The sequence below is a fragment of the Homo sapiens genome, chromosome 4 (genome assembly GCF_000001405.40).
Source record: "Homo sapiens chromosome 4, GRCh38.p14 Primary Assembly".
Classification (NCBI taxonomy): domain Eukaryota; kingdom Metazoa; phylum Chordata; class Mammalia; order Primates; family Hominidae; genus Homo; species Homo sapiens.
The window spans coordinates 83,595,647-83,611,629 of NC_000004.12; the positions used below are offsets into that span (position 1 = coordinate 83,595,647).

The 15,983-nt window shown below is 38.4% G+C and overlaps 1 protein-coding gene across 6 annotated transcripts in view; it reads left to right on the forward strand.

Moving 5' to 3' along the window:
- Nucleotides 1–10,229, forward strand: part of GPAT3 (glycerol-3-phosphate acyltransferase 3) — a 70,289-nt gene extending 60,060 nt beyond the window's left edge. For all 6 annotated transcript variants that reach the window (XM_017008780.2, NM_001256422.1, NM_001256421.1 and 3 more), the window contains 5 exons: nt 1,212–1,267; nt 1,784–1,869; nt 2,405–2,533; nt 2,998–3,077; nt 9,022–10,229. In XM_017008780.2, coding sequence (XP_016864269.1) covers nt 1,212–1,267; nt 1,784–1,869; nt 2,405–2,533; nt 2,998–3,077; nt 9,022–9,121 — 451 coding nt within the window. In that variant the 3' untranslated portion in view covers nt 9,122–10,229. The remainder of the gene's footprint in view (nt 1–1,211; nt 1,268–1,783; nt 1,870–2,404; nt 2,534–2,997; nt 3,078–9,021) is intronic.
- The last annotated feature ends 5,754 nt before the right edge of the window (nt 10,230–15,983 follow it).

A 15,983-nucleotide genomic window follows, 5' to 3' on the forward strand; every position in this document is an offset into this window, starting at 1 on the left:
GAGGCTGCAGTGAGCTGAGATTACACTACTGCCCTCCAGCCTAGGCAACAGGGGGAGACCTTGTCTTAAAAAAAAAAAAGAAGATCCAGCTAGAGACAGAGGAATGGGAGAAGGAACCTCTGGGGTTTAGGGTAGAGATGAGCTACCAGAAACCTTCGTTAGGAAACAGCTTTTGGCCCGAGGCCTTTAACTGGAAGGCACATTGGTTATCGCTTCTATAAACACAAAGGTGGTCCATTACTCTTAATATAATGAAAAGTACTTGATGAATCTGCTTCAAGTTAGAAAAACGATTCCCTATCTTGAGATCATTTGGCAGTGGGACACTCTGGCAGCTGCAGTCTGGCTACCTCAGCCCTTACCAGCTCTGGAGAGAAGAGTTGGAAATATAGGGTTGGTTGCAGGGAGGACAGGACATAAGCCTGGAAGAATGTCAGTCTTTCTCAGCTTCATGGTGTGCAAATGGAAAGTTCAACCTGAATCATTTAAGGATTGTCTTGTACTTAATGGCCATAATGCAGGTAGGTCCAGCAACCCAATATTCCCATTTTTCAGATGAGGAAACCTAAGTACATGGAGAAGAGCACAAAGCTCATGACACAGAGGCTCTAGAGTCCATGACTCTAGAGTCAAATGACTGTCTAATATTCTCTTTTAAGAATAGGCGAAGACACTGAAAATCACTTACTTTGGTCCAGGCACATTGGCTCATGCCTGTAATCCCAGCACTTGGGGAGGTTGAGGCGGGTGGATCGCTTGAGCTCAGGAGTTCGAGACCAACCTGGGCAACATGGTGAAATGCCATCAGTACAAAAAATACAAAAACTTAGCAGGGTGTAGTGGTGCATATCTGTGGTTCCAGCTACTTGGGAGGCTGAGGAGGGAGGTTTGCTTGAGCTCAGGGTGTGGAGGCTGCAGTGAGCCGAGATCATGCCACTGCACTCCAGCCTGGATGAAAGAGTGAGACCCCATCCCCCACCCACCAAAAAAAAGAAAAAAGACTTACTTTGAAATTAGAGAAATTATAATGGTGCAGATCTTCTTAAACTTTTTTGGAAAGGAAACAACTCAAATTTATTTCTTTTACCTGTATCTCAATTATTTTCTCCTTATTGCTTCACAATTGTGCCAGTAAAGTGCAAGGAATATCAAAAAGGACATCCACCTCTCTCTTTATAAAGGCAGAATTTTGATCCTTTTTTTTTCCATAGACTAAAAGAACATATTGCTGATAAGAAGAAACTACCCATACTAATTTTTCCTGAAGGTAAGAATGGGCCTGCCTCCCGAGCTATAGTTGATAACAACAAACCATCAAAAGTGTGTGAGGAATAGAATTGCCATAGAATTGGCAACCTTAGCCCAGATCTCTGCCCTTAGAGGAATGGGATGGCACTCTCTGAGTTATTAATTCCTTGCTTTCTTTTGAGACTTGATAGAAGTCATGTTACCTTTTTAATTCAAAAGTCATTTCTGGGTAGTGAACTGAGAGCAGAATTGTCCGTGACTTTAAGGGTTGCATGTATTGAAATTTCACCTGTTGAGAAGTTGTTCCCATAGGCCCATAGAGTGTTCAGTAGAAAAGTAAAAGCTTGTTGTTAAACCTGCTTAGTCAGAACTATAGGATTACTACCTTGGCAGGGGTTCGTTTGTGATATGGTAGTACGATGCCTGTAATTTTGATATTTTAAATTATTTTATATCAAAATAATTTCTTTTAAAATTTATTTTTAAAATGACTGCCTTTAAAAATATTCACGCTCCTACCCTCACCCCCTTGCAGGAACTTGCATCAACAATACTTCAGTCATGATGTTTAAAAAGGGGAGCTTTGAAATTGGAGGAACCATACATCCAGTTGCAATTAAGGTAAAACAGATACCATAATAAGAATAATAATTATTATAAAGATATTGGATTGGTAATTTTATTTTGGTAGCATTTCAAACTTAAAATTTGCAAGAACGAGGAACACCAGTTTTCGGATGCACCAGTCCTCTGCACTTTGCCTCCCCTGCTTTCTCATGTGCTCGCTCTCTATATGTAGATAGATGTATACTGGGTGACTCTGTGCCAGGTGTTGTATTTGCTCATAGTGTTAAGTGAAACAGATTCTGTTCCTGCTTTCATCAGCCTTCTAGTTAAGTGTGGAGACAGATATTTAATAGTCATGTAAATAACTCTTGTTGGTGTGCTCTTTGGTTCTATTTAGAAAAGCAGTCATCTCTAGTCAGATGTATTAGCTGGCCCAGTTTACTTTTTTTTTGATAAATTCCATCAAGTGAAATAACTTTTTTTTTCTTAGAGTCTGATAAAGCTGTTTGGCCTACCACCTTTAAAACATTGGGCACGGATGAGAAACCACCCTTATTTCATAACTGAGATGTATTTTCTTTTTTCTCAGTATAACCCTCAGTTCGGTGATGCATTTTGGAACAGTAGTAAATACAACATGGTGAGCTACCTGCTTCGAATGATGACCAGCTGGGCCATCGTCTGTGACGTGTGGTACATGCCCCCCATGACCAGAGAGGTATTCCTTAGCTAACACTTTATCTAATCAGGTAGAGGCAAGGAGATCTTCACCTGAAAATCTGGGTGTCTCCCTTCTCCATGTCATGCTTTTCTGCTTTCTCAGCAAATGGGTCATTTTTTTAATGATGTATTTAGCTCACTTTAAATCAGACCATTTTATATTGAGAGATTATTTTCCACGATGGTTTTATAATTGCTGTTGGTTTATTGAACCTACAGATATTATCTTGGGTAAGACTAATAAAGAGCGTAATAAATATATGCACATGGTAAAAAATTAAACAATACAACACTGCATTTTCTTTATAGAACAAATGATATTTGCTATGATTGATTAAGAATAGAAAGCATTTGAGCTGAAATATGAATCTTATATTTTAAAACAAATACAAATGATTATGAGATGGTATTAAAAACTCGATAACTAAGATATTCTTGCAATTTTTTTTTTTTTTAAACCAGGAAGGAGAAGATGCAGTCCAGTTTGCTAACAGGGTTAAGTCTGCTATTGCTATACAAGGAGGCCTGACTGAACTTCCCTGGTAAGAGAACTTTCAGAAGTACTATCACTTTTTTTTTTTTTTTTTTTTTTTTTTTTTTTTTTTTAGAGAATGCCTCACTCTTTTACCCAGGCTGGAGTGCAGTAGCATGATCATAGTTCACTGTAGCCTGATCATAGTTCACTGTAGCCTTGACCGCCTGGGCTCAAGGGATCCTCCCATCTCAGCCTTCTGAGTAGCTGGGACTACAAGTGCTTGCCACTATGCCCAGCTATTTTAAAATTTTTTGTAGAGATGGGGTGTCCTTGTGTTGCTGAGGCTGGTCTCAAACTCCTGGACTTGAACTCCTGCCTAAGCCTTTCAAAGTGCTGGGATTACAGTCATGAGCTACTGTTCCTGGCCTTTTCTTTTTTTTAATTAAAAAAATCACTGGTAATAATGTCATTTATCATTCTAGTCAGTTATAGGTTTAGCTGAAAGTAATAGTGGTTTATATATAACAATGGCTTAAGTAAGATAGAAGTTTATTTCTCACTTAAACATAACCAGTGAAGGCTGGTAACAGCTCAATCTGTGTTGCTTTACTCTCCTCAATTTGTGCTTCTCTTATGGTCTAAGATGGCTGTTCCAACTCTACTCAGTGTGTACAGCAAATGGCTATGAGGAAGGAATTTTAAAAAGGACACACCCATCTCTAAGAGCACAAGCTGAGAGTTGTATATCCCACTTATGCTTGTATCCATTGGCTAGTACTCAAGTCATGTGATAACACCTAGCTGCAAAGGAAGCTGGGGAATGTAGTCTTTGTTCTGGGTGGCTATATGCCTATCTCACATTTAGGGTTCTTTTTCTTATGAAGAAAGCGGGAATGGATTTGTGAGTGGGGTGGGCATTGGGAGGCAAGGGGCTACTTACAGGCTCATTCATATTTAACTCTAGCTATAACTATATTGTAAGAAAACTGAACAACTTGAAAGAAGGGAAATAAGTGAAATATTTTAGTTATGGATCACTATGGCTTTAGTTTTTGTTTGTTTGAGGAAGATTGAATATAGGTGAATGTATTAGTCTGCTTGGGCTGCCAGACAAAATACAGTGGTCCCCTCTGGATAATGGGGGATATGTTCCAAGTGCCCTAGTAAATTCCTAATACCATGGATAGTACAAATCCTATATAGACTATGTTTTTTTCTATATGTACATAGCTATGATAAAGCTTAATTTATAAATTAGTAATAGAGATTAACAACAATAACAACTGATAAAATAGAACAATTATAATAATACACTGACTAATAAAAGTTATGTGAATGTGGTCTCTCTCTTTCTCAAAATATCTTAATATTTTCAGACCATGGTTGACTGTGGGTAACTGAAACCATGGAAAGCAAAACCTTGGATAAGGGGGGAGTTACTGTACCACAGACTGGGTGGCTTAAACAACAGTTTTAGAACTGTTATTTTCCCACAGTTCTAAAGGCTGGAAGTTTGAGATCAGGGTGCAGCATGGTCAGTTTTTGATAAGGGCTCTCCTCTTGTGTTGCAGATAGCTGCATTCTCCTGTGTGCTTACATGATCCCTTCTTTGTGCAGGCATGAAGAGAGAGTGCAAGTTCTCTAGTGTTTCTTTTTATAAGGGCACTAATCCCATGAGTGCTCCACCCTCATGACCTCATCTAACCCTAATTACCTCCCAAAGGATCCATCTCCAAATAGCACCATATTGGTAGTTAGGGCTTTAACATATGAATTTTGGGGGAGACAAAAACATTCAGTCTATCTCAGTGAAGGTTAACTATACCTACATTATAATGGGGGATTGAATTATTATTATTATTATTTGAGATGGAGTCCTCTCTGTCACCCAGGCTGGAGTGCAGTGGTGCAATCTGGGTCACTGCAACTTCCACCTCCTGGGTTTAAGCAATTCTCCTGCCTCAGCCTCCTGAGTAGCTGGGACTGCAGGCATGCACCACCATCCCCAGCTAATTTTTTTTGTATTTTTAGTAGAGATGGAGTTTCACTATGTTGGCCAGGCTGCCCTCCAACTCCTGACCTCAGGTGATCCACCTCAGCCTCCTAGAGTGCTAGGATTACAGACGTGAGCCACCGATCCTGGCCGGGAGATTGGATTCTTATTTACATACAGGATGTTAAATTAGCAGGCTGTCACAAAACAGTCTATACCTCAAGTCCTATACAGTTAATAAACTCCCTGCTGTCTTTTTTGGTGTTTCAAAAACACTTTGCAAGAAAAGTTTATTTCAGACAATTGTAGCAATGTTTCTAGGAGCAGGATTTGGCCAACTGAGTTAGGCTGTCAGCCAGGAAACCAGGGACCCTCCTGAACCAGCAGAGGATGGTTTAAGGTGTCTGCCTCTCGAAGAAGGGCTGGCTAGATATTACACAGTAAGCATTCACTTCACATCATTGATAGGTTCTTGTAGGCTGTGACCTTAAGCAAAATGACTTTATAGTAGGTTCTTGAATAAATAACATCATTTTGTTCAATGTTGTTTCTTTATAATGTTGATGAGAAAAAATATTGAGTTTTTTATGCATCATTTTGTTTAAAGTTGCAGTTTCTAAGAACCTATCAACAATGTTCAGGGAGGACTTACTGTACTCCATTATGCAAGGGTGGGGAATAACACTAAAATATTTATCCATTCACATAGCGTGAATACAACTAATTGCATCCAGGTAAACCAGTTTCTGATATCCATTATGCAAATTAACAAACCACTAATTTCTACAGTGAAAACTCATTTCTAAAATTTGTTATGCAAGGACCTGGTGCAGTGGCTCATGCCTGTAATCCCAGCACTTTGGGAGGCTGAGGCAGGTAGATCACCTGAGTTTAAGAGTTCGAGACCAGCCTGGGCAACATGGCGAAACCCTGTCTCTACAAAAAGAATACAAAAATTAGCTGGGCGCCATGGCGCACACCTGTAGTCCCAGCTACTCGGGAGGCTGAGGCCTGAGAATCCTTGAACCTAGGAGGTCGAGGCTGCAGTTAGCTGAGATCGTGCCACTGCACAGCAGCCTGGGTGACAGAGCGAGACCCTGTCTCAAATAAATAAATAAACAAATAAATAAAATTTGTTATGCTAATTAACAAAGCTTGAGAAATCGATGGGCAATAAAGATAAAGATAGCTGAAGCCATTAGTGGCATCTCTGAAAGGCGGCCTTCTGATTAAATGCTAGCTGACCACCCTGGAGTAAGAGTTCTTGACTAACAAGGTGTATGACTTGAGTTCCATACATCCTGGAGTATGAAACTGACTAGTCCTAAGGCATAGGTTAAGACTAAACATTTGTATTACACTGTCTACATTGGAATATGTTAAACTAAATGACAGAATCATAGCATCACAAAACTATATAAAACGACCTTGGTCCACAGATGTCCTATAACCCATGGTCATACGTGCAACTGGGTTCCTTTTCCTTATTTAAAACTCTTTACTCACTCTTTATCTTACCTGACACTCAGCCCTCCTGCTTCTATCCTGAAGTCAGTGTCTGTAGTCTCAGACACAGGAAGGGAAGAAAGCCTTGAGAGACAAGAACAACCTAGGGGAGTCAGCCAAGTACAGACTCTCCATCAGAGTGGCTGAACTAAATCCATCAAAAATGATCCTCAGAATTGTCCAGTGTCCTTTTTTCAGGCCATATGCAATTGTATAATAAAATTACTTTTAATTACCTAGCCTCTTAAAAAAAAGAAAGTGGCCTCATTGCCTTTCTAGATTTATTTGTCATGTACCTATTGGTTATGAATTAACATATCTAGATTGTTTTTTCATAGATTGAGTGAAAATATAATTTTATGATCTTAAACTGGCTTTTATATATGGCTGCTCCCTCTCTTAAGAACTAAGACCTGCTGCCATTGCAAAGGGGAATTGGATAAAATTTTGAAGTCTCTAAGGGGTGGCAAATCACAGTTTAAGTGCTTAGAGCAGCATGAGGTTTACTGGGTGCTTGGGAAGGAGAATTGTACAAAATGATGTCAGATTGCTCAAGACTTACATTTTTGCCTGTTTTGGGCTTGGATCTTGTGAAAGGAGAAAGGCCTTTCTTATTTCTTTAGTTTCCTTAGTTCTCACTATTCAGAATTCAGGTAAGTGCTGTTAATAGAAGAAGCTCATTTGGATAAAAGAGGCTTATGTGGACAATTCTGTGGACCTAACAACAATTTATAATCTTGTTTCATGAAAACCTCCCACAACTGACCCACTGGATGATTTGTGGATCACAGTCTGTTTTTAAGTTGAGGACTTATTGCTGTGTCTTAGATTTGAGTCTAGAAGCCAGAACATTGCATTTGTCTCAAGCCGGTGTCTCTGTGGAGGTCAAGTTCTGTCCACATGGCATTGAGTTCACTGGCTAACCTACGATCATTCACCATCATCAGAAAGCATTTGGTAAACATGCATGCTTAACTGGGTTAAAATTAAACAGTCAGAGTATAAAGTAAGCAAGTTCTCAGCCCATGCTCTCCTAGCAGTTAAAATCTAAAACTTTAGATTAGGAGCCAGATAGTGACCTATGATAGTCCAAACTACTCCCAGCAACTCCAGTTTGTTGTTTCTTTATGTGTAGTCCAAAGAAGGAAAAGCATGCAGAGTTCTTATACCCAGGCAGGCACCCTGGAGAGAGTTCAAAGATTTACAGGCTCTGAATGAAGGAATGCTGCTTACATAGGCACTTCTGGTTGAATGCAACTTATGATTTTGTTATTTTATTCGGAATCTGTTTTGGAATATAAATGATTATAAATGCTGGAAATATAGTGCTTTGAATGAAAATACAACTTGTTAGACCGGGCACGGTGGCTCACGCCTGTAATCCCAGCACTTTGGGAGGCTGAGGCAGGCAGATCACCTGGGGTTGGGAGTTCGAGACCAGCCTGGCAAACATGGAAAAACCCTGTCTCTATTAAAAATACAAAATTAGCCGGGCCTGTTGGTGCATGCCTGTAATCCCAGCTACTCAGGAGGCTGAGACAGGAGAATCACTTGAACTCGGGAAGTGGAGGTTGCGGTGAGCCAAGATTGTGCCATTGCACTCCAGCCTGGACAACAAGAGCAAAACTCTGTCTCAAAAAAAAAAAAAAAAAAAAAAGAAAATATAACTTGTTAAACATAGATAGGGTTATATTTGAACAATGATTTATCTTTTTTGAATAATCATTTATCTTTAAGAAATTTACCCACACATATACAGTACCCTTACCATTTCTTCTGTGTATATTTTAAATTTTCCTGTGGTTTTCTAGTAAGACATAGGTAGACGAAAAACCAGTATTTTGTTTTCCTTAAGGAATAATATAGAGAAATAATCCTAGTTTTAATAATCCTTGTTTCAATCCAGTTTTTGTTTGTTTGTTTGTTTGTTTTTGAGACGAAGTTTTGCTCTTGTTGCCCAGGCTGGAGTGCAATGGCGTGATCTCGGCTCACTGCAACCTCCACCTCCCGGGTTCAAGCGATTCTCCTGCCTCAGCCTTCCAAGTAGCTGGGATTATAGGCATACACCACCATGCCCAGCTAATTTTGTATTTTTAGTAGAGACAGGGTTTCACTATGTTGGCCAGGCTGGTCTCGAACTCCTGATCTCAGGTGATCCACCCACCTTGGCCTCCCAAAGTGCTGGGATTACAGATGTGAGCCACTGTGCCTGGCCAATCCAAATATTTAATACACCACCCCTTAACTTCTAAAGAAACTGAGTTGGGGATATTGTTACTTATTTTAACCAAACATCAGAGAGATTGTTCCTTCCTCAAAGTAATGTGTATTTGGCAAGTGGTAGGGCAGAAACTGAAACCTGGGTCTTCCTGTTTCCAAATCCAGTGTTCTTTCCCTTATTTCATCCCAGCTGCCTAAGCGTCATGGTATCATGCAGCATGTAATTATTAAGTTAACTCTTTTAAATCACCGCTGTAAAGTATCTTTTATGTATTTGTCTTTCTGTTTGCAGGGATGGAGGACTAAAGAGAGCAAAGGTGAAGGACATCTTTAAGGAAGAGCAGCAGAAAAATTACAGCAAGATGATTGTGGGCAATGGATCTCTCAGCTAAGAGGACGGATGACAGCCTTTAGATCTAGAACTAGCCCTTAGAAATGGAATGGCTTTTTTTGTTTTGTTTTGTTTTATTGTTTTGTTTTTATTATTGTTAATCTTTTCTACAGAATGATTGTCTCTACCTCTTTATGCCAGAGGCAGAACCTACAGGTGCCCTTTTTGGCTTTTGTTGTTGTTGTAACATTAGCCCCATGGATTGTAAGGTGGTTTACTGAGTTAAAACAGATTCTGCTTTTGTAAAATGATGGCATCACTGTGGACTGAATGAAATATTTGTATAGAAAAAAGTGCTTGAAAAGTGTGTTTGGAACTCATCGATAGGGTAATTCTCCAAAAATGCCCAAACTCTTTTTCTGTAATTAGCCTTGCCACTTTCTTCAGTCACTTAAATGGTGAGATTACACATCAGTGCAAGATGACCATTATGGTTATGGTCTACTGCAAGGTTGAAAGGAAAAATGGAGGATTGTATTTAGGAAAAGGGACAACTTTGTGGCCACCTGCTCTGAAAGTCAAAAGGAAATGTAAATTAGTGTCATTAGTGTGTTGGAAGAGAAATACTATTCAGTAAGCTTCGCCAAAGAAAAGTGAGTCAAAGTTAATGTGTGTGCGCATTTATATGTAGGCAGCTCGTAGACCACATTTTAACCAGCAACTGGTAACAAAGAGCTTAGTTTTCCTTGTTTGAATGCTGTAGATCTGTACCTAGTACCCCTCCCATCTACTGATTTGTTTGTTTTTGTAACCAAACACATTTTCAGATAGAAGGAGCCTTAAAAAAAAAAAATCACATTGAGTAACTTCAGTATGAATGAATGAGAGTGTGTGGAGCTACCCCTCACCCTCCACCCCTTTGTGCTTTTTATTCCCGAATTTTCCCAGTCTCTTAAACAGAAAAATGACTGATATAATTATCTTTTGGAAACTGAGCCTTAATTTTTTTTAGAGGGGGAAATAAGTTTTCCCCAACTCACACAGCATAAGCAATGTTTGACAGCAATATAATGCCGTTGTAAACTACTGAGAGTATTGTATCTGTTCTGGTAACCATGTACAGAATGTGAAACTGTCTTATGAATATAAATAAATTCTATATTTCTAAATGTGTGTTGCATTATTCCCCCTTCCCTTCCCCCCTTTTCTGGTTTTGAGTAAGTTAAATTCTTTCCTATTACAAACAAGGGTTGTTTGTTTTTCATTTCAGTGACATAGTTAGATTTTATTGGACTGGAACAAATGGGAAACAAGAACATGAGCCACTGATTCTCCCCCTCCCCTCCCGCCGCTTAAATCTTTTTTTCAGTCTAGTCATTTGGACTCTGGCCCTGTGAACTCCACCTTGAGCAATGTCACAGACTACAGTTATTTTGCAGGTGAATTAAGGCAATTATATCTAACTATCTAGGTAGGCCTGGCATAGCACTATCAGTATATACTCTTCTTATCTATCTAGCTAGTTGGATTTCATCCCAAAAGAAAACTTGCAAATAGGTTACTCTCATGGCCATCCACCTCTCTGTTCTCACTCTCCCCACTTTCCCTTTGTTGTTTGGTGAAATTTTGCCCCACAAACTCTATTAGGAGTGGTCTTGACTGAAAATTAGCAAATCCAAATATGTATGTTGGGTGACATTTTGTCTTAATTTTTTTCCTCAGAGAAAGGAGTGCCTTTTTTTTTTTGTAAATTCTATGTTAATTATGGCTTGAATTAACAAATCTATTTCATTAGCCCAATTCTCAGACAAGTGTATCTTTCCAAAAGCACTGTAAAAATAACAGTGCTATCATGTATTCACTAGATAACCTAATAGTGTCTCAATCTGAACTTTTGTCTTCTACAAGACTGATTTACACAACTAGGTTTCAGGTTGCTTGAGGAATTGCCATGTTGTTGAAACCATGTTTTTGGAAAGCTGATATTGCTCAGATTTAGTGTATGCTCCTTAGAGCTCCTTTTATGTTTGCTTTCACTAATATTATTCCATACCCACTTTAGAGATATTGTGTCCAGAGTTTAGTATTCCTGAGTCTTCCCTAATTGTAAGGCAATATGAAGGGAAGGCAGGATTTGGTAGAAAAATCTCATCAGATAAGTAAGACCTTTCATCGAACTCTTGCATACATTCATTAATTGAGCCTCGAGGTTGCCCTATTTTTATTTCAATTATTTGTCCTGCAGTCATATTTATAGACAGCAGGTTCTAGGAATGCCAAGGGTTTCTAAAATATGCCACATTCTGGGACTGGATGAGCAGCCATGTGTGAAACGGTAAATATACCCGGAGCGCAGGGGAAATAGTTTCAGATGCCACTCTGGGGCAAAGAACAGTCTCAGGGGAAGTTTTCCTGCGTCAACAGACTTTCCAAGGCATAGTCATCTTTGTCTTGGTGCTTTGCATGATCTCAGTGCATATGTTGCAGTTTGCACATTCTGTTGATTTTTTTTTATTATACTTGAAGCTCTAGGGTACATGTGCACAACGTGCAGGTTTGTTACATACGTATACATGTGCCATGTTGGTATTTTAACCTACATGATAAGGGTTGTTGGTTTCTTGTGAGTACAAATAATGTATTGTAGTCATGGGGACTGCCTCTTGGCCAAAGCTGCTTTCAGGCTTTTTTTTTTTTCCTTCAATGTGGCACTATTAACCTAAACTGCTTCATGATAGAAAAGGGTAGGTTATGATAGGAGGATAGGCTGGGGGTGGAGGTGGGGTGGAGGGAAGTGGGGAAGGGTGTTGTGGCAGGTGTAGGGGGCAAGGCTGGGATCTGGGATTGATACTGCTAGGGGCCCTAATAAGTATCTTCACAAAAGCTGTGTGTTTGCTTTTGTTTTTTAACAGCTGTTTCTAGTGGATTGATACTAGCTATGATTTAAAAAAAAATGGTTAAGATAATGGGATTAATGGGATACAGAGTCATAAAACAAAACATTTTCTTTATTTTTTGAGACGGACTCTCACTCTGGTGTCCAGGCTGGAGTGCAGTGGTGCAATCTCGGCTCACTGCAACCTCTGCCTCTCAGGTTCAAGTGATTCTCCTGCCTCAGCCTCCCGAGTAGCTGGGATTACAGACATGCGCCACCATGCCCGGCTAATTTTTGTATTTTTAGTAGAGACGAGGTTTTGCCATGTTGGCCAAGCTGGTCTCAAATCCCTGACCTCAGGTGATCCACCTGCCTTGGCCTCCCAAAGTGCTGGGATTACAGGTGTGAGCCACTGTACATGGCCAATTCTATTTTTTTATTACACATTCCTTTTTTAATGCTCAGTAAATATTTATTATTATTACTACTGCTGTAAGCAAGCATTGGTGATTGGCTCATAACGTCTTCTACTTGCCATATGTCTTTATTAGCTCAGTTCATATTCATATCCCTTTTTATAGGTGATAGATTGTAACTTCTCAATCCTGTGTGTTTTCCTTCAGAATCAGCACTTGTTCCCAAATAAAATAGTTTCAGTCATCCGCAGCACTGTACTGCAGCCCTATTTTTCAAAATTGGGCAGTCTAGGGAAAGGGCTTTCCTTTGGTTTTGTTGTTTTCTTTCCTCATGTATAGTGGCTGTGCCCAAAATGTAAGGAAAATCAAGAAATTGCAAAATATATCATCAGGCTATTCATATTAAATGTAAAACATTAAGTAATATTTAAGTTAATTTGTGGCTTGTAAAAACTTTGGAAGCTTTATATAATGAACTAATGGCACATAATTTCTGAAAGTTTTAATTAGACCCTGTTGATATTTGCAACATCAGCCTTAGCATATCTATTTTTAAATTATTATTAATTGATAGATAATTGTACATATTTATGAGGTACAGTGTGGTATTTTTATACATGTGTACAACGTGTACAACGTGTAGTGATCAAATCAAGATAATTAGCAAATCCATCACCTTAAACATTTGCAGTTTCTTTATATTGGAAACAATCAAAATCCTGTCTTCCAGCGATTTGAAAATATACAATAAGCTGAGCATGGTGGCTCATGCCTGTAATCGTAGCACTTTGGGAGGCTGAGGTGGGCGGATCACCGGAGATCAGGAGTTCGAGACCAGCCTGGCCAACATGGTGAAACGCCGGCTCTACTAAAAATACAAAAATTAGCTGGGCATGATGCCGTACACCTGTAATTTCAGCTACTTGGGAGGCTGAGGCAGGAGAATCACTTGAACCCAGGAGGTGGAGGTTGCAGTGAGCCAAGATTGCACCACTGCACTCCAGCCTCGGTGACAGAGTGAGACTGTCTCAAAAAAAAAAAAAAAAAAAAGAAAGAAAGAAAAGAAATATATACAATAAATTGTTAACTCTAGCCACCTACAATGCTATATAGAACACTAGAATTTATTCCACTTGTCTGTCTATAATTTTGTATCTGTGAACCAATCTCTACCTATACCCCCCTCCCTCCTACACTTCTCAGCCTTTAGTAATCACTATTCTACTTTCTACTCCTATGAGATCAGCTTTTTTAGCGTCGACATATGAGTGAGAACATGTGGTATTTATCTTTCTGTGCTTGGCTAATTTCACTAACCATTAATGTCCTCCAGCCTTAGCCATGTTGCTGTGAGTGACAGGATTTCATTCTTTTTATGGCAGAATAGTATTCCATTGTGTATATACACCACATTTACTTTATCCATCCATCTGTTGATAGACACAGGTTTATTCCATATCTTGGCTACTGTGAATAGTGCTGTAATAAACATGGCAATGCAGATATCTCTTTGACATTCTGATTTTCTTTCCTATGGAAAAATACTCAGTACTGGGATTGCTGTGTCATATGGTGGTTCTATTTTTAGTTTTTGAGGAACATCCATACTGTTTCCTATAATAGCTGTCCTAATTTACATCTTCACCAACAGTGTATGAGTCCCCCTTTCTCTGGACCTTTGCCAGCATTTGCTATTTTTTGTCTTTTTGATAATAGCCATTCTAACTGGGGTGAGATGCTATCTCATTGTGGGTTTGATTTGCATTTCCTTGAAGATTAATGATGTTGAACATTTTTTGTAAACTTGATCATTTGCATGTCTTCTTTTGAGATGTCTATTCAGATCATTTGCCCACTTTAAAATCAGATTATTATTATTATTATTTTGCTATTGAGTTTTTTTAGTTTGTTGTATGTTCTGGATATTAATCTCTTGTCAGTGGCTAGGTGCAGTGGCTGACACCTGTAATCCCAGCATTTTGAGAGGTGGAGGTGAGAGAATAGCTTGAGGCCAGGAATTTGAGATCAGCCTGGGCAACACAGTGAGACCCCGTCTCTACAATTTTTTTTTTATATCAGCTGGGTATGGTGGTGCATATCTGTAGTTCTAACTATTTGTAAGGCTGAAGCAGAAGGATCACTTGAGCTCAGAAGTTTGAAGCTGCAGTGAGCTATGATCACTGCACTCTAGCCTGGGTGACAGTGACACCCTGCTCAAAAAAAAAAAAAAAAATTCCCTTGTCAGATGATTAGTCTGCAAAAATCTTTTCCCATTCTGCAGGTTGTCTCTTTAATCCATTTATTGTTTTCTGTGCTGTGCAGAAGCATTTTAGTTATATATGATTCCATTTGTTTATTTTTGCTTTTGTTTCCTGTGCTTTTAAGGTCTAATTCATAAATTTTTTGCTCAGAACAATGTCCTGAAGCATTTCTCCTATTTTCTTCTAGTAGTTTCATAGTTTTGGGTTTTTAAAGAAGACCAATGTCCTGAAACATTCCCTCTATTTTCTTCTAGTAGTTTCATTGTTTTGGGTTTTTCATTTAAGTCTTTAATCTGTGTTGAATTGATTTTTATACTAAGGATCTAGTCTCATTTTTCTGCACATGGATATCTAGTTTTTCCAGTACCATTTATTGAAGATACTGTCCTTTTTCTCATTGAATGTTTTTGGCACCTTTGTAAAAAATCAGTTGGCTTTAAATACATGGATTTATTTCTGCATTGTCTATTCTGTTTCATTGGTCTATTTTTCTTTTTATGCCAATATCAAGCTGTTTTGGTTAATATAGTTTTGTAGCATATTTTGAAGTCAGGTAGTGTGATGCCTACAGCTTTGTTCTTTTTGTTCAAGAATCATATGGTTTTTGTTTTTCATTCTGTTGATGTGATGTATCACATTTATGAATTTGCATATATTGAGCCATCTTTGCATTCCTGGGATAAATCCAACTTGATCATGGTGTATATTTTTTATGTGCTGTTGAATTTGGTTTGCTAGTATTTGTTGAGGATTTTTGGATCTTTGTTAATCAGATATTTTGGCCTATACTTTTCTATTTTTTATTGTGACTTTGTCCGGTTGTATTATCAGAGCAATGCTGGCCTCATACAATGATTTTGGAAGAATTCTCTCCATTTTAACTTTTTGGAATAGTTTGAGAAGCAGTGAAATTAGTTCTTTTTAAATAATTTTGTAGGATTCAGGAGTGAAGTCATTTGTGCCTGGTCTTTTCTTTATTGGGAGATGTTTTATTACTGGTTCAGTCTGGTTACTTGTAATTATTCTGTTCAGGTTTTTCATTTCTTCTTGGTTCAGTCTTGGTAGGTGGTATGTGTCCAGAAATTTATCCATTTCTGTTAGGTTTTTCTAACAGAAATTAGGAAGTAGAGTTGTTCATAATAGTTTCTAATGATCCTTTGTATTTCTGTGCTATCAGTTGTAATGTCTTTTTTTTCACTTCTGATTTTATATATTTGGGTTTTTTCTCTTTTTTCTTAGTCTAGCTATTCCTTTTCAAATTTTGTTTATTGTTTCAAAAAAGCAGCTTTTTGTTTCATCTTTTTTTTTTGCATTTTTTTGGTCTTAATTTCATTTATATTTGCTCTGATATTATTATTTTCTTCTACTAAT